This window comes from Homo sapiens, chromosome 3, assembly GCF_000001405.40.
Source record: "Homo sapiens chromosome 3, GRCh38.p14 Primary Assembly".
Lineage (NCBI taxonomy): Eukaryota > Metazoa > Chordata > Mammalia > Primates > Hominidae > Homo > Homo sapiens.
The window spans coordinates 85114175-85133967 of record NC_000003.12 but is presented as its reverse complement, the minus strand read 5'-3'; the positions used below and the strand labels follow the sequence as shown (position 1 = coordinate 85133967).

At 35.9% G+C, this 19793-nt stretch overlaps 1 protein-coding gene across 11 annotated transcripts in view, besides 1 other annotated feature; it reads right to left on the bottom strand.

The window, feature by feature from the left end:
- Positions 1 to 19793, bottom strand: part of CADM2 (cell adhesion molecule 2) — a 1115441-nt gene that overhangs the window by 940462 nt on the left and 155186 nt on the right. The window lies entirely within an intron of this gene.
- Positions 12595 to 13425: an enhancer, noted in NCBI's record as "OCT4-NANOG hESC enhancer chr3:85169693-85170523 (GRCh37/hg19 assembly coordinates)". NCBI's record gives its function as "activates a minimal SCP1, AML or CMV promoter by ChIP-STARR-seq in primed H9 embryonic stem cells {active_cell/tissue: H9 hESC(primed)}" and the evidence as "EXISTENCE:reporter gene assay evidence [ECO:0000049][PMID:30033119]".

The window sequence follows — 19793 nt, the reverse complement described above, 5'->3', positions numbered from 1 at the left end:
CCTCCCATCCCCTCCGTGGGCTCCTGTGCGGCCTGAGCCTCCCCGACGAGCGCCGCCCCCTGCTCCACGGCGCCCAGTCCCATCGACCACCCAAGGGCTGAGGAGCGCGGGCGCACGGCGCGGGACTGGCAGGCAGCTCCACCTGCAGCCCCGGTGAGGGATCCACTGGGTGAAGCCAGCTGGGCTCCTGAGTCTGGAGGGGACGTGGAGAACCTTTATGTCTAGCTCAGGGATTGTAAATACACCAGTCGGCACTCTGTATCTAGCTCAAGGTTTGTAAACACACCAGTCAGCACCCTGTGTCTAGCTCAGGGTTTGTGAATGCACCAATCGACACTCTGTATCTAGCTACTCTGGTGGGGCCTTGGAGAACATTTATGTCTAGCTCAGGGATTGTAAATACACCAGTGGGCACTCTGTAGCTAGCTCAAGGTTTGTAAACACACCAGTCAGCACCCTGTGTCTAGCTCAGGGTTTGTGAATGCACCAATCGACACTGTATCTGGCTACTCTGGTGGGGCCTTGGAGAACCTTTGTGTCCACACTCTGTAACTAGTTAATCTAGTGGGGACGTAGAGAACCTTTGTGTCTAGCTCAGGGATTGTAAACGCACCAATCAGTGCCCTGTCAAAACAGACCACTGGGCTCTACCAATCAGCAGGATGTGAGTGGGGCCAGATAAGAGAATAAAAGCACGCTGCCCGAGCGAGTGGTGGCAAACCTCTGGGGTCCCCATCCACACTGTGGAAGCTTTGTTCTTTCACTCTTTGCACTAAATCTTGCTGCTGCTCACTCTTTGGGTCCACACTGCTTTTATGAGCTGTAACACTCACTGAGAAAGTCTGCAGCTTCACTCCGGAAGCCAGCGAGACCAGGAGCCCACCTGGAGGAAGGAACAACTCTAGACTCGCCGCCTTAAGAGCTGTAACACTCACCGCAAAGGTCTGCAGCTTCACTTCTGAGCCAGCCAGACCACGAACCCACCAGAAGGAAGAAACTCTGAACATATCCGAATATCAGAAGGAACAAACTCCAGACACGCCACCTTAAGAGCTGTAACACTCACCGCCAGGGTCCGCGGCTTCATTCTTGAAGTCAGCGAAACCAAGAACCCACCAATTCCGGACACAGTATTATACACTACTATACCATGTGGATTGCATGGAAAAAACCCAAAAGCTTCCCTTATGTTAGTTTCCTCTTACGTATGGTTATAGAGGAACATTTTGCATTTATTGACAGAACATGTCTAAATGATACCTCCTTAGTGAAGGCATAATTTATTATTGAATCTTTGTAATTACTGAGAGGGTCTAATGACTAAATATATATATATATATAATATATCCTTGTTTATATTTCAAAACTAAATTTATGTAATGGATTAATTCTTATACAAATGAGCAGAAAGTAAAATACTGCAAAAACACTTGAAATATCAGTTGTAGAGCTGAATATACCCAGGGAAGCACCCTCTGGAAGGTGATTTTGTAAATGGAATCTGTTAGATCAAGTCCAGACCAACTCTTGCCTGCCAGGTGCCACTTAATTAAGCCTCTACCTGTAAAACCAAACCTCAAACTCCAAAGTTCTAAGAAACTGGCTCTCATTAAATCATTCCATTGTGGATTACTATGGACAATATAAGGCCAGTTAAAGGTTTCCTTAGGTAGTCACGGGGTTCTTTGTTCTTACAGTCAGTGATCAGGTGCTAAGACAGTCCAAAGCTAAACTACAAGAAACAAATTAAGAGCCTTGTAAGTTTATCAGAAACTGAAGATCAACCTTTTTTAACTGAAAAGGCTAATGCAACTTTAATCATGTCCTCAACCAATAGTTAGTAAAATAAGGATTTTTAAAAATTGAAAACATTATCCCTTCTCATTTCAGGAAAACATTCTCACCACAAATAATATCTCTTAAGACATAACAAAACATATTTTCCATATTATTTTCTTATACATATGACATAGGTTATATCATCTTCAAACTTTGTTCTGGAGTAACTATTGATCTATATGCAGTGTATTCCAATTCACCTGATTATTCTGTGTGTCTCTACTGACCTGTTTTTTTTTTTTATACAGCCACATTGTTAATATTAATACAAATAGTCCAGTTATTTAGCAGAATTTAATTGTATCGTAGTGTATGTGACTTTTTCCTTCAGTCACAATACATCAGTTCAGGAGAAACATATTATTTGCCAAATAATAAATTTGAAGGGGAACATTTTCACTAAATCCTTTAAAAGGAATAGTCACTTTTCAAAAGGGTCATTATGACATAATCAAAATGATATGGTTAGGTAAGTTATATTACCTTAAAAATGGAGAATATTAATGGTAATCTTTGTAAGATGACTAACATGGGCCCCGCTATATAGTATCCATTCCATTTCCTTTTCTGTGAAATATGCATGAAAACATTTGTCTCCATTATAGGGGTATTACAATGATCCTTTGAAAAGGTATTCTCACACTAGAAATTATTATGTAAGTCAATGAGGTTTATTATGTTTTTATCTGATGTAGTATAGGCTAGCAAATTTTGAAGGAAAGAATAACTATTTTCAATAAAAAACTGTGTCTTTGGACATTGAGGTCTTAACTATAGAGATAACTTACATATTCTCATTGTCCTATCTATCTGTCAATCACTTTATCTTGTTTCTTTAAAATTCAACAGTTTCTGAGAATAAAAAGTATTTTGTACTTCTCTTAAAATCTTCATGATATTATGTATTGCTCTTTGTTTTTATTTTAATAGCATTTTTTTTTTCTTTTCTGAGACGGAGTTTCACTCTTGTTGCCCAGGCTGGAGTGCAATGGCACGATCTTGGCTCGCTGCTACCTCTACCTCCTGGGTTCAAGTGACTCTCCTGCCTCAGCCTCCTGAGTAGCTGGAATTACAGGCGCATGCCACGCCCGGCTAATTTTGTATTTTTAGTAGAGACGGAGTTTCACTATGTTGGCCAGGCTGGTCTTGAACTCCTCACTTCAAGTGATCCACCCACCTTGGCCTCCCAAAGTGCTGGGATTACAGGCCTGAGCCACCATGCCTAGCATAAAATTTGTTTTCATATAGCTATAAATTCTAGCAACTGCTTATGAAAATTATGACAAATTATTACAGATTAATAACGCTACGTATAAGAGTTTATATGAATTGGCTGAAAAGTTACATAAAAATGGTTAACAATTTCAACTTTCTATCAGTAACTTAAGGTTAATAAGAAAATAGAAGTCTACTTACAAAATCAATGGATTTTAAGAGCCTATAATTAATTTAAAACACCCTGTGTTATTAAGACTAAAATAAATTATTTTCATTCACCTACTCCCTATGACCAATTATTTTATACAGGGAAACTTAATCTCTTTAACTTGAAAACTCTGTAGAAGTAATGCATAATTAATCACTATGCTGTATCTGGCTTCATCAATATTAGATTGAATATATTTACATGTTACTTAAGGACTGACCTTAATTAGAAACTTTGGGCATTCTGCAAAGAAGATTGTTTGAAGATTTCACTGGTTCTATATTTGCACATTTTCCTGGACTTAGGCAATTCATCTTTGTGATAATCAGATTTTTTTTTCAACAATTGTATTGGTAAGGAAAACTATGGATAAAATAATGCCATTTAGCACTTTAAACTATATTTTAAATATATTGGGTTTTGGTTAGAAAAAATGCATCAAAACTTTCTTCTAGAATTTAAAATTTGGTTTTTATTCAACAAACTATGCTGAACGTGGCACTAAACACAGATGTCTATACTTATAAAATTACTGTAAACCCAGTCTCAACTGAATAAGTCTTTAAATAAGTGAGTCTGCTCCCTATTTAATGTGCATAATCTTAAAGATGAAAACGGGTGAATTAAATTCACATGTATTTCCTAATGGATAACTTAAGCTGGGATATGAACTATCCTTTCTTTCCAATTCAATCCACACCTGGCTACATTCTGATACATGGTTCCTGTTTATCACACAGTGAGGGCATTAAAAGCGTGGAAGGCATCAACAAAATATTTCCCCATAAATCTCCTAGTAAAGAAATTAAGATTCATTATGGGTATTTTCCCAGTTATTAGAGTCAGTGTGTTATAGTACAAACATGGGTTTATATGTATACATACTAGCTTTTTAACAAGCACGTTGTTTTCAATGTTCTAGCCAAATTACGTAAAGTGTGGGATCACAGCAAATTCAAGAAAAATGGAGAAGGGTTGTAAAATAAAAATACCTTGTCATATCTGGTGGAGGGAATTATTAATTGATCTGGGAGAATATCCTAGCACCAGCATTCATTTTTTCCAAAAGCTCCTCAGGCGATAAGAATGTGTGTGCTGGCTAAGAAACACTTGTATGAAGAAGCCACATGAAGTGAACAGAAAAAGATTAAATAAGTGATTTCCAATGTTGGTTCAACTGGAATCAAACTACTACTCTAATGTGACACAAAAGTTTCAGAATATTTTTATAAATTTAGTCAATTACAGGAAAGAAAGAGAAAATTAAAGTGATAGTGGCCATCATTTCTTAAATACACAATTGCCTACACAAAAGAAATACAGTGTTAAAATAAAGTAAATAAAAAGAGATATAAATATTAGGTAGTCAAGAGGCAAACAATCTGCATTAAATGAAAACCCCTATAAAAGTTTAAAGATTATTATTTAAGGAGGATTTGTGGTTTCTTTTACTTTGGCTTTACTGAAGGCAACCATCTATTTTAGAAAAAAATAAAGGTGAAAGGCCCTATTTCCCAGATGCACTGTTGAGCTACTTTAACTTAATCTTCCTTGGGCCTAAGCATTGATGTGGTGAACTGGCTATGGACCGGGTTTCAGTGCCACGACTGCAATACATATAACTTGAAGATACCCACACACTGGTATGTCAATGAAAAAATGAACACACACCCCAAGAAAGAAAACATGATTTGGACTAGATTTACTTGAAAATGAAAAATACCACATCTGCTGGTAGGTATATCTATTTTTAACTCTCAGTATCTGATGTGTGTGTTGTGACAAATACACAATTGTTTTTGGAAGGAATTGCATAGAAGATAAACTGTATGTAATTTCTGCCCCACAGTAAATAAAGTGTTTAAAGATACATTATAAAAGCCTCTCTAAAAACTCTGCTTTTATTTCTTACAGCAATAAAAACTTGCTTCTGATGCACCCACATAATTTAGCCTTAACATGTTTATTTAACCTGTCCCATAGGTAGTAAAACCTTTTGGGGTCTAACCTAACCCCAAATCTGATTCACAAGAAAGTTGGAAGATGAGTTCAATGGTACAGTATATATTTGTGATCTGTAAATGAGATATCTTGACAATGCCTTCCACCTTCTGACTTGTCATGAGGCTTTCAGACCCTTCTAAGACCTTTACAACACAAATTAAACTCATACTGTCAAAATATTCTATTATCTCTCACTTCTAGGATTGTTAGAAATGTTAAGCTATACTGATATTTTAAGGATCATCATTAAATATTAAGTTCACATCAAAGAATCTAGATACATGTATACATTTTCAAACAAAAAATTAAATACAACTTCTGGTATCCTAATAATTTTCTTCTTCATATAAATGAATACAGCAAAACTTTTCTCCTATATTGATTGCAAGGTCAAGGAAGGAAAACCATTAAATAGAAAATTAGGCATTATAAATGGCCCATGTTCCTGGGCGCAGCTGAACTCTTAAAAAGCGTCTTACTTGATGCCAAAGATCTGGAAGCTAGTTTCAGCTTTTCTGTTTAATAGAGTTGTGGAGAACTTGGATGGATTTTTAATCTAAAAGTCAGTTGCATTATTTCTCAATAAAAACATATATAAGCACCATTCAATAAACTTTCTGCAATAATGGAAATGTTCTCTATCTCTACTATACCACCGTAATCATTAGCCACATGCGTTTCTTGAGGACTTGAAATGGGGCTAGTGTGACTGAGGGACTAAATTTGAATTCCATTTAATTTTATTTAATTAAATTTAAATTTAAATAGTCACAAGCAGCTATCAGAAACTGTATTGTTTGGGGCAAACGTAGATTGTATTTGATCACATTTATTGGAAATTGTCTAAAAAATCAAGGGCAATTATGACCAATGCATCATTGTTGAATGAAACTCTAAAATCAAATATGTGTCAGAGATAGGGGAGCCCCTTGAGACATGTATCACCTAAATCAATCCTTAAAGGTATACAGAAGCCAGGATGATACCTGTCCTAAATTAAAAGTAAGCATAAAAGACCAGTTTGAAGAGAAAAATAGAAGCCATGGGGTGGCAATATCAAACATAAGAAATTTTAAAAGGAAAAAGCATTGTTTGATTTTCTCCAGGTAGAAGTATAAATAAATTATTAAATTCATAGGGAATTCACGACTTTAAAAAAGTAATCTGACCCAGAAGCCCCCTTCTCTCCAGGCTGAGTCCCTGTCAGAAACGGGCAAAGCCAATCATATACCATTCTTCAAATGAGGTTGAAATTTGGGCCAGTTGGCCCTTTACGAAAGCCCACATTTCAAGAACTCCATTGTCCTTACAAGAGGTTTTACTGAAAACATATAGTTTTCTAATTCACATTATTATAAGGACAACAATTGTAATAAAATTGACTTTGTTTCTATTTTCTAAAAAGTGGCCAGTAGGTCTATTATTCCATTGAAGCACAGTATTATTCAAAGGAAGCTTAATACATATAAATATATTTTGGTAGATATGTTTTCCACACATAAGCATAAAGCCTGGTTTTCTCTTTTTTAATCACCCTTTAAAAAATTGATTTTATTATGCTGAATGTCAATATTGATATGTTTGTTTTAAATGGTAAAATGTTAACAGTTCATATAATCTGAGTTCATCATGGATCTACTAAAAATTGTCCTTAAAAATAATGTTCTCTGACTCTCCTATGTATGGTATAATGAAATCATAATATTCTCAACAGATACTTACTATCCAAATAACAGGCAATGCATGCACATACCATACACCTATTTGCATAATGAAATTAGTTTTTAAACTCTTGATCCAGGTACTTTTCCTTTATCCTAGAAAAAAGAAATTAGCAGAATAACTCACAGCAATATGATTCTCCCACCTAAAAATAACAACAAACAGGAAAGATAAGGTAAATGAAATAAGTAAAAATGATATCAATCTACTCATTTTTGTGTTCATTGACTTTTTTTTAGAAATGATGCAAACTTTATAATATGCCACAATATTTCATCATATTGGACATGTAAGGAAAAGTTAAAGAAAGACACATAAAACAACCGTAGTGATTTTATTAATTTTAACACTGAATGCCAGATATGGTTAAAACTTAACAGAATAAAAATGGCAGCATATTTAATAGCATGAAATAAAAGACCAAGCTAAACATTCTTAAAAAGCAAAATATTTTTTAAAACATACACACACAAAACTTTGCAAAAGAAAATGTTTCTTATATTTAAAATTTTAAATGTGAACTGCCGAACTCCCTAACTTCTGATTTTTTTCCCCACAACACTAACAATCTTAAAATATACTATATTATTGTTTCTTTATTTTCCTTTCTTTCAGACTCCACCCATATGTATGTGAGTTTTGTCCCTATTTACTTCACTGTGGTATTCCCTGCTCCTAGAACAGAGCCTCACACATAGTAATGGGACAAGAATTATTTTAAATTCAAAAAAGAATTAATATTCACACTGATTCTACCTATTATAATTTCAGGGGAAAACTCTGCCTGTATACAGATTTTTCAGGCTCTTATCAAAAGTAGAGGTATTCATTCATATGCAGTGACTCTTCATACAAAATTTACAGTATTAAATGCTGCTCAAAAGAGTAATGTACAATATTTTTATTTATGTTTAATTATAGATCATAGTAATGTATATATGATATCATAGTCTGGTATAAACTACTTTCCTCTGCAAATATCTAGAAAATAAGAGAATACAGATGTTTAAAAGATACAATGAACATTATATAATTATCTCAAAACAAAAAGAATGACATTATTACCTGAGGATTGGCTTCTAATTTTACAGATAAAAAGAATTTTAAGTTTGGGGCAGTATAAAATATTAATTCAAATGCCAAATTTATTTTTATTCATTATCATTAGAGCTAAATTAAATAAACACTAAGATTACACGTGCCATAATTTTGATCCAGGATGCTACAGTTATGAATTATTGGCAGGCAGTAGACCTGCCACAAAACCATGAAATAAATTGTCTAAGTAAGGCAACTGAAGAGTCCCCAAGAGTAGGCTGGGCATGGTGGTTCAAACCTGCAATCCCAGCACTTTGGGAGGAGGCCAGGGCAGGTGGATGCCTTGAGCTCAGGATTTCCAGACCAGCGTGGGCCACATGGCAAAACCCTGTCTCTACGAAAAATAGAAGAAATTAACCAGGTGTGGTGGTGCACGCCTGTAGTCCTGGCCACCCAGGAGGCTGAGGTGGAAGGAACACCTGAGCCCAGTGGTCAAGGCTGCAGTGACAGTGATCGTGTCACTGCCTGGGCAACAGACTAAGACCCTGTCTCAAAAAAAAAAACAAAAATCTAAGTTCACGAATGTCTCCTCTCTTTGCCAAAATTTGTTGTCATATCTGCTATGGTTCACTTACATGAATTTTTTCTAAAAATATGCCATCTCATATATTAAGGCTGCCACTTCCTTATTAATATATTTTGGTTTACCGTGTTCTCCTCCTAAATGATGTCCTGAGTTAGGTTACACTTGAGCAGCTTTGATAACAAAATAAAACCACAGTCATAGTCCTCTACTTAACATGTGTCTAGGGAATTTGGACATTCTTAATAAGCTCAATGACTAAGATGGCCTTAATGTTTCCCTCTGCTGATTAAATTTTAGACAGGCTTCTTCCTGACTTTTGGCTCTGATCTCCCTGTTCTTAGAGCATTTTATTTAGAAAACATGTAATTGCAAATTCTCTGCCCCTTTGTGATACAGATGGCCCTAACTTATAATGGTTCAACTTAACAATTTTCAATTTTATTATTGTATGATATGTATTCAGCAGAAACTGTCTTGGAGTACCTATGTAAAAATTCTCTTTTTCAACTTTGGTACAGTGTTTAATAAATTACATGAGATATTCAACACTTTATTGTAATATAAGCTTTGGGTTGGATGATGTTGCTGAATTTTGGCTAATGTAATAATACAATTACTCTGAGCACCTTTTAGGTAGGCTAAGCTATAATGTTCCTTAGCTTAGGTGTAATTGAATGTTTGAATACATTTTCCACTTGCAGTATTTTCTTTGTTTACTTGTTTTTGTTTGTTAGTTAGTTTGTTTTTTGAGACACAATATCTAGCACTGTTAGCCAAGCTGGAATGCAGTGGTGATCATAGGTCATTACAGCCTCCAATTCCTGGGCTCAAAGGATCCTCCTGCCTCAGCCTCACAAGTAGCTGGGACTACAGGCATGCACCACCGTGCCCAGCTAATTAAAAAAAAAAATTGGTAGAGATGGAGTCTCACTATGTTGTCTCGCTGATCTTGAACTTCTGTCCTCAAGCAATCCTCCTGCATTTGCCTCCCAGAATGCTGAGATTATAGTCATGAGCTACCGCACCTCATCCACTTAGAATATTTTCAATTTATTTTGGGTTTATTGGAACTAGCTTCAAGTCAAGGAATATCTGTATATGTAAATCTTTCTAAAAGCCTATTGACAATTTTACAATAGATAAACGTCCTTCTTAAGGACTTGGAAGCCATTCTTTCAAATGCAATTATCAAGGAATATTGTGCCCCTATCTTCCCAGTCCCTATGGGAAAGTAGATCCCTAACTTAGAAGGGCCCCAATTAGCAAACACAGGGGACCTAATTACAGAGAAAAGCATTTGCAAACAGGAAATAACTCAGTGTGCTCAACATAGCTCATTGATCAACCTCCTCACTAATATCCCCCAGTACTTATATAGCTCATCCCAGCCCAACATTTGTTTCCAGAGTTGAGTTCAAACATAGATATGGCTTCTGTCTCCTATTGCAATAGCCTTGAATAAATCTTTCTTTTCTGTTAAAATTTGTCTTGTGCAATTTTTGCTTTGAAACCAACTATATTTAATATAATGTCCAAACAAATAATCACATGTAGCTTTGAGTAACCTTATAAGAATATTGAATATCTGTGGGATAAGATAAAGCATAGAAGGACAGATTTAAATATGTATATGTGTATGTGTATGTGTGTGCACATATATATAAATATATATGTTTAATTAAACAATTTGCCTCCTGATATCAATAAACTGCTGAAAATCTTTTATAAGATTTATTTTTTCTTGTTTCAGTTATGTCCTTCCTAGGGAAAGAAAATCATCCACTTAAATAAATGTCTAAATACTTAAATTCATTTTACTTCTTCAGAAAACAATCACATCAATTTTGGGGCAATTAGAATCAGAGGAGTGCCCCTCTTAGAGGTCACTGTATTCGAACTTTTAAAATCCACAGAGTAAGTGATATTGAACACAGCCTACACCAAAAAAGATTACAATAAAATTATACGTTTTTACACATAAATCTTATGACTACCATTTGAAATGAGGAAATCTCCAGAGTCAAAACAAGCAGTGATTAGTAAGGAATAACAAGAAACCTCATTGCTTTGCCCTTTAAATCATAAGAGTATTACTTCTTGCCTTTAGTTGTGATGTCACTATGAAGTTGTTGACAAAGCAATCAGGCTCAAAAACCCAATGTCATTTAACTAGAAACTTTTTATTTATATTTTTCTAGGAGGAAAAGAAAAAAGCATGGGAGGAAAAACAGCATGGGAAAAAAAGTAGGAAAAAAGCATGGGAATCTTAGTTAAGTTTGATGGAACATAAGATAATATATCATGTATCTTTTTCATGGAAAACTCCCTCATTAGGTAGGTAAACACATTTAAATATGTCATATTATTGTGTCAAATGCAGTGTTAAATACCCATGAAGAGGATAGAGGTGAACACTTAGCTCAGTTTGAGGTTTAATGGAAGCTTTTCTGAGAGGAATAATTTCCCCAAAGAGCCAAATTTTGAGAAGACAATGAATAAGAGCCATACAATGGAAGAAGAGCCATACAATGGAAGAAGAGAATGTTTTTACATGACTTTAAGGTATTTCCTTGAGGGTCTAGGTGATACTATCAGGGAAAAGGAATCCGGCAAGGATTGAGGAAAAGAGGTGAAAGTTTGTTTGAGGTGGCTGCAAAAATTCAAAGTAGGTATGTTTGGCTATAAATAAATAAACATATATATGTACACATATATATGAATATGAAAGTCAATATAGATGTATGGATTAAACATGGAGATTCGGGAATCACCAAAGCCAATCATGGTTCATACCTAAAACTCAAAAACAGATATGAAAGCAAAGAGAAATAAAGAGTAATGGATTTGAGAGAGAACTGTGGGCAGTCCTAATATTTAAGTGATAGGGAGAGTAAGAGCCCACAAATGAAAATTACATAAATAGTGTAACAGAATACCAGAGAGTAATGAGTTATAGACAGTTGTGCCTGGTGTATAGTATACAGTAAAAAGGTCCAGTAACTTGAGTGAATATTCTCACTGGATTTGGCAATATTGAGTCACTGATGAACTTCACTTTTCATGTTTAATTAGTCTTGAGGATGAAAACGAAAACAAACTGAAATGTGTTGGTGAATCAATTAAAACTGAGAGATTAGTGATTGTAAGTATAATTAGGGTGTGTATGGTTAATAAAAGGCTTTTTATTTGAGGAGGAGCTTGGGAATGAAAAACAGTAGAAAATTCCTTATAAACAGGATGAGAGAGGTGACTGAAGGAGTTAGAGGTCAAATATAAATGGAATAGAGGATATATTGATGGAGTAATGTAGCTGTTGACAAAAAAAAAAGATGAGATCAAATGTAAAAGTGAAAAGATTGGACTCGATTGAGGATGCAGAGAAGGAGCACCTCATCTCCTGTGAATGAGATAAGATAGCGAAGATAAATTGGAGATAAATGAAAATGTCAATATATGTGAGAGAGGGAAAAAGAAAACTAAATTCATTTATGCCAAATAACTTTAATTATATTTTAAAATTGTAAGAATGCAGAAATAATAAAAATATGATTGAGTAGGAGGCTTAAGAAGATAGGTAAATGACTACTGTAGTTAGGGAAGTGTGAGAATTGTCCAAAGATAGGTAATATTACTGATGAATGAAGATAGGTAATATTACTGATGAATGAAGATAGGTAATATTACTGATGAATGGTATTGAATACTAAATAACACAAAATATATCTAAATTATTTATTGATGTATCTCTTGTCCTTTGCATAGCTTAGGTCATCTATGGACATATTTGAGTCAGCATTTCATGATCACGTTCTTTGTGTGCTAAGCGTGAGTACCTGTTCTCAGATCCAAGCCTCGCCATATTCTCTCATCTCTTTATCCTTTGCAGATCACTTTCCTCCTGCCTCTTAGTGATTGTCACTTACCTACCCTTCTTCGATGCTTTGTTTCCCTGGAGACATACAGGAATATGTAATAATTTCTTCTTAGGTTTTTCCTTTCCTGTTTTTCCCACAGACAGCAAGTAAATACTCTTTTAACTTTTCAGTTTCACTGCTAACTATTAATGAAAAACCGGCAGCATATAACCAAAGTTATACTTTGCTCACATCTCAAAATGACAGTGAGTGTTTTGTAATTTCTGATGGCCAGGAAAGAATTAGGAATGGATACCACCTAGCAATTCTCCCTCTGCCTTTATTACCCTGAGGGCAGAACTCATCAAAAGAACACCTTCCTTCTGCTCTCTCATTTACTTGAAATTGAGGCCTGAAGACATAATCAAGGCAGAACAACAGGTGCCTCCTTGTCTCAAGTGGACTATTTGCATTTCAAAGTATCTCTGGATTCTAGGTGATGACTTTTCCAAGGGGCTTAAGCTCCTTCATGGAAATATCACTTTTGGAATGTACTTCACAGCGTGTTTCACTAGAATTCCCTGTTTATTACAATGAAGATTTGTCGAGTGAATCTTACCAGCTGAGATTTCTGGAGATGCAGAGCAATGTATCTTTTTTTTATTTTCATTTTCTTTTTATTATACTTTAAGTTCTGGGGTAAGAACGTGCAGGTTTGTTACATAGGTATACACGTGCCATGGTGGTTTGCTGCAGCCATCTACCTGTCATCTACATGACGTATTTCTCCTAAGGCTATCCCTCCCCTGGCCCCCTACCCCCCAGGAGGCCCTGGTGTGTGATGTTCCCCTCCCTATGTCCATGTGTTCTCACTGTTCATCTCCCATTTATGAGAGAGAACATGTGGTGTTTTGTTTTCTGTTCCTGTGTTAGTTTGCTGAGAATGATGGTTTCCAGCTTCATCCATGTCCCTGCAAAAAACATGAACTCATTCTTTTTTTATGGCTGCATAGTATTCCATGGTGTATATGTGCCACATTTTCTTTATCCAGTCTATCATTAATGTGGTTGGTTCCAAGTCTTTGCTATTGTGAATAGTGCTACAATAAATATACGTGTACATGTTTCTTTATAGTAGAATGATTTATAATCCTTTGGGTATATACCCAGTAGTGGGATTGCTGGGTCAAATGGTATTTCTGGTTCTAGATCCTTGAGGAATCGCCACACTGTCTTCCACAATGGTTGAACTAGTTTACACTACCACCTACAGTGTAAAACCATTTATTTCTCCACATCCTCTCCAGCATCTGTTGTTTCCTGACTTTTAATGATTGCCATTCTAACTGGCGTGAGATGATATCTCATTGTGGTTTTGATTTGCATTTCTCTGATGACCAGTGTTAATGAGCATTTTTTATTTGTTTGTTGGTCGCATATACATCTTCTTTTGAGAAATGTCTGTTCATATCCTTTGCCCACATTTTGATGGGATTGTTTATTTTATTCTTGTAAATTTGTTTAAGTTCATTGTAGATTCTGGCTGCTAGTCCTTTGTCAGCTGCATAGATTGCAAAAATTTTCTCCCATTCCGTAGGTTGCCTGTTCACTCTGACGCTAGTTTCTTTTCAGAAAAGTCTCAGGATACAAAATCAATGTGCAAAATTCACAAGCATTCATATACACCAACAATAGACAAACAGAGAGCCAAATCATGAGTGAACTCCCATTCACAATTGCTTCAAAGAGAATAAAACATCTAGGAATAAAACTTACAAGAGAAGTGATGGACCTCTTCAAGGAGAACTACAAACCACTGCTCAAGAATATAAGAGAGGACACAAACAAATGGAAAAGCATTCCATGATCATGGATAGGAAGAATCAATATCATGAAAATGCCCATACTGCCCAAAGTAATTTATAGATTCAGTGCTATCCCCATCAAGCTAACATCAACTTTCTTCACAGAATTAGAAAAAAAAACTACTTTAAATTTCATATGGAACCAAAAAGGAGCCCATATACCTAAGACAATCCTAAGCAAAAAGAACAAAGCTGGAGGCATCACACTACCTGACTTTAAACTATACTACAAGCCTACAGTAACCAAAACAGCATGGTACTGGTACCAAAACAGATATATAGAACAGTGGAACAGAACAAAGGTTTCAGAAATAATGCCACCTCAGGCTCCGGGGTAGCTGGTACTATAGGTCCGCATGTATGTCACAATGCCCGGATTTTTTTTGTAGAGACAGGGTTTCACCATGTTGCCCAAGCTAGTCTTGAACTTCTGGGCTCAAGTGATCAGCCCACCTCAGCCTCCCAAGGGTTGGGATTACAGGCGTGAGCCACCATGCTTGGCCAATAGAACATTCTTAACTAGAACATTGTATATATCTACTAGAGCATAAGGAGATTCTTTTCATTTGTAAAAATAAATGGACAGGCTGGGTGTGGTGGCTCAAGCTTGGAATCACAGCACTTTGGGAGGCCAAGATGGATGGATCACCTGAGGTTGGGAGTTCGAGACCAGCCTGACCAACATGGAGAAACCCTGTCTCTACTAAAAATACAAAATTAGCTGGGTGTGGTGGTGCATGCCTGTAATCCCAGCTACTCAGGAGGCTGAGGCAGGAGAATCGCTTGAACCCAGGAGGCAGAGGTTGCAGTGAGCGGAGATCGCGCCATTGCACTCCAGCCTGGTCAACAAGAGTGAAACTTTGTCTCAAATAAATAAGTAAATAAATAAATATAAATAAATGGACAACATTAAACTTCTTCAACGTTTTCATAAAAACATGGTGATATGGTTTGGCTGTGTCCTCACCCAAATCTTGTCTTGAATTGTAGCTCCCACAATTCCCACATGTTGTGGGAAGCACCCAGTGGGAGGTAATTGAGTCATGAGGATGGGTCTTTCCCATGTTGCTCTCGTGATAGTGAATAAGACTCACAAGATCTGATGGCTTTATAAAGGGGAGTTCCCCTGCACAGGCTCTCTCTTTGCCTGCTGCCATGTTCGTCGTGCCTTTTGCTTTCTGTCATAATTGTAAGGCCTCCCCAGCTACGTGGAACTGGGGTCCATTAAACCTCTTTCCATTATAAATTACCCAGTTTTGGGTATATCTTTATCAGCAGCGTGAAAACAGACTAATACACATGGTTAGATTGAAGATACTCATTGTTAATGTATTACAAATTCCAAAATAACATGATATTTTAATATATCAATTTTATTTAATATTTTATGTACTCTTATGGGCACTTTTTCATATATATCCCATATAACTTCATATAAAATGCTGAGAGAATTAACAGATGAATAAGTTAATATCACAATCCTTGAAGAATTTATGATGTATAGAGAAAAAAAGAAAAAAAAACCCTTTATGTAAGGCAAAATATTAAAAGTTTAAAATAAAGGGGTAGGATAGTACAGGGAAGAGTTCGAAGAGAAGTCACAGAAGAAACTAGCAGTTTAGAGAAGCAAAGATTTTTAAAAACTTCAATGTAGGACGCATGGGAAACAAAGTTGAGAAGAATACAATTTTTAGAGTTGTGAAAAGCCTCATGAAAGCTTCATTATAATAGGGCCGAATCAACTATCATTTCAGAAAATATAAATAAAACTCCTCCCAAAATATAAAAAATATAATGCCCATTGGCTCCACACAAAGGAAGAAAATAACCAGTGAAATAGACATCCTTCATAAGTATTTAAAACCTCCAATTTTATTCTAGACTTCCTTACAAAATACATGTGTAAGTGAACTACTGAAGTCCAGAAAAAATCTTACTTCATAAAACACCCTAATCCCTATAACACCCTGTAAACAGTTTTTTAGTGATAAACAATTCATTAGTGATATTATGTTTATCATTTTACAACTGTAATGCTATATTATAATCTGATAAATATACTTCAGATAAATATATTTAAAAAATCAAAACACCCTGAGGCTTATAGTGTCATTCTAGTCTATAGCACCTACTCTTTTTTACACTAATCCATAATTGATGGCTCATGACATTGCTCTTTTCAAGCCATTAGTTACACAATAACAATGTTAATTAGTTTTAATTAAGTCAGCCATATCCAAGCTTGTATTATTTTAACTTTCTTTGAGAAATAGATAATATTCCTTAGGGTTATTTTTATTTATATATATTTTACAGCATCCTTTACTATTTTCAAAAGACTGAGAATTACTTTTGACCATCATATTTAGAAGAAAAAAAAAATCATAAAATTTTCTCTTTTTTTTCTTTTTTTGAGACTGAGTCTTGCTCTGTAGCCTGGGCTGAAGTGCAGTGGCACAATATTGGCTCACTGCAACCTCCACCTCCCGGGTTCAAGTAATCTTCCTGCCTCAGCCTTCCAAGTACCTGGGATTACAGGCGTGTGCCACCATACCTGGCTAATTTCTGTATTTTTAGTAGAGATGGGGTTTCTGTATTTTTAGTAGAGACGGGGTTTCATCATGTTGGCCAGGTTGGTCTAGAACTCCTGACCTCAATGATCCACCCACCCCAGATTCCCAAATTCCTGGGATTACATGGGTGAGTCACCGCCCGTGTCCTAAAATTATCTTATCTTTAGCTATTTGCTACTAAAAGTATTCATATTGCACCATACACCAGAAAAATGTCCTAAGGTAAGAACATGATTTTTTTATACCATTTAACTGTATACTATCATAAGTTACAAAATTTTAAATATACTTCTTCCTCTCCCTCTCTAAAGTCCTTTCCACAATGGTATGTACTGGAACAAGACAGGCCTCACATTAAACGGCTGATAAGTAGGGTTGCCTATAGCACCGAAAAAAGAATGAATAAAAATAATAAGCAATAAATATTAAAATAAAATTGCTTTAATTTCATTGAGAAGTATATAATGTAAATATGATGATTATTTTCTAGAAGTTTGATATAATCAAACGTGTTCAATTCTTTCACTAACTTTGACTCATATAACAATATCACTTTTTATTAATGAATATATTAACGCTAACTTACCTTTGATAACTCAGGAACTTGAAGCTTATTATTTTAATTTTCTTATTTTTTAAACTAGTGCTACAAAGAAATCAAAAAGGAATCTCTCTACACAAGAGCAAGCAGATGTGCTTTTGTTTGTTTTTGGTTTGTTGTTTGTTTGTTTGTTTTGAGACGGAGATCACTTCGTTGCCCAGGCTGGAGAGCAATGCAGTGATGTTGTCTCACTGCAACCTCTGCCTCCCGGTTTAAGAGATTCTCCTGCCTCAGCCTCCCCAGTAGCTGGGATTACAGGCATGTGCCATCACACTCAGCTAATTTTTGTATTTTTAGTAGAGACTGGGTTTCACCATGTTGAGCAGGCTGGTCTCAAACTCTTGACCTCAAGTAATCTGCCCGCCTCAGCCTCCCAAAGTGCTGGGATTACAGGCGTGAGCCACTGTGCCTGGCCCACGCACATGTGTTTTTACAAAGTCAATGGTTTTTCAATTGCTTGAGTCCTATTGCTAATGAAGATAAAATCATGAATGTGTTACTGATGTTATTCAGTTACTAGGATCCTTTATGCTTCCACCCATATCCACAGCTACTTTCTTCAAAGATGCGTACAAGAGGCACTGGATGAGATAGAGAATGTAATCCAATTCAACACACACTTGCCATCACCATGAGCTCACACCTCTTTAACTGATGTGTCACTAGCATTGTCTAATATGAAAAGAAAAGCCTATGATTGAGATTAGGAAGCACAGGATCATTGTCAGGCACAGAAAATCTACCATTAAACATTAAAGCTGTATATTAATAACCTTTTACCTTGACATAATAAAATTTTGGGCTTGTTGTAATCCTAGATTTTTACCAAAGAAAAAAATGAATTTCAGAAAGGTTAAATCACCTGTTCAAGGTCATACAAATGTTAAGTGCTTATCTTGGGTCTTGAACCTAGACCGAATTGACTGCAAGAGCCCAGTCTCATTCTAGTCCTCCTGCCAGAAGGGAAGAATAAGAAACTCAGAGGACAGATAGTGAGAAGCAGAAAATATACTCACATCTATACTCCCATCTCATACTTGCTTTATAAATAATAGATATGAATTAAAAACATTAATGAACTTTCTACTTTTAATGTACTGACATAATTCAGATATTAGAACAGTCTTACGGAGGCAACAGTGATAATTCTAATTAGCAATTCATCTGCTGCTCTTGAGGGTCATTTTAAAATTCTGCTTATTAACTTATAGCATTTTCCTTCTCAGATTGACTGTCATTTCCAGGAATAAGTTAAGGTAGATCAGACCTTGTAGGGTAGCAAGAATTAGGACATCATTAAAAAGAGCATTCAAGTAGTTAAAGAAAGAGTAGAAATTTATAAGAAGTAAATTGGCTATTAAATCATCATTGGCTCTTCTTTCTTTTGAAATTTTAAGCATTCCAGGTAGATATAAATGAAATAACATTTGAGACTTCATTAAGACTTTGCAGAATGTTTGAGAATAGTAAAAGGGCTTTGTGTAAAATGTTTCAGTGTGGTTTGCTTTAGGCCCCATTATATGAATACTCTTTATATGAACATTTCTATATATGAACTAAGATCTAGATCTCCCTTAATCCTTTCCCTTTAACATAATAAATGGTTATAAGGAAAAAAAGGTCATATAAAAAGTGCTGATTGCTTTTAAGTGCCTGGCAATATATTAACTGGCACAGAAATTATTATCCTGATTTCACATATCATGAAACTAAGTCTTAGAAAGGTTAAAAAATTTGCCCAAGGTCACACAGTTAATAGGTGTGAGAGTAGATATTTAAACACAAACCTATCTCGCACCAGATCTGATGCTCACTGAACTGTTTAAGCCAATTAATGACAACAAGCACTATAGAGTTATATCTGGATTCATCAATGAAATAGCCAATATATCATACTGTAGACAGGTTACTTTCAGAACTACAGACTTCTAGAGCCATGTCTGGGCATGTTAATTACTGTTCAGGTAACTTTCAGATCCAGACTTTATCTCTGAAGACAGTATACAACCAAAACCTAATTTTTCTAATGACCTGGGTAGGCCAGGTCAGGGTGACAAGAGAACCAACTACCTGTTGCTTAGCTAACCAAAACCTGTCCTCATTTACCCACACCTACTCTGAGGATGCCTCTCTTCCTTGTCTCTCTCCACACCTACTTTCACCACAATTCACACTTCTGTCCTATCGATTCAGCCCATGGGGGTTTTCTCTATGCCTATCCATTATTCACTTCCCCTCTCCCCAGTCCCCCATCCAGCCCCTAACACACACCTATTCCCAGTGAG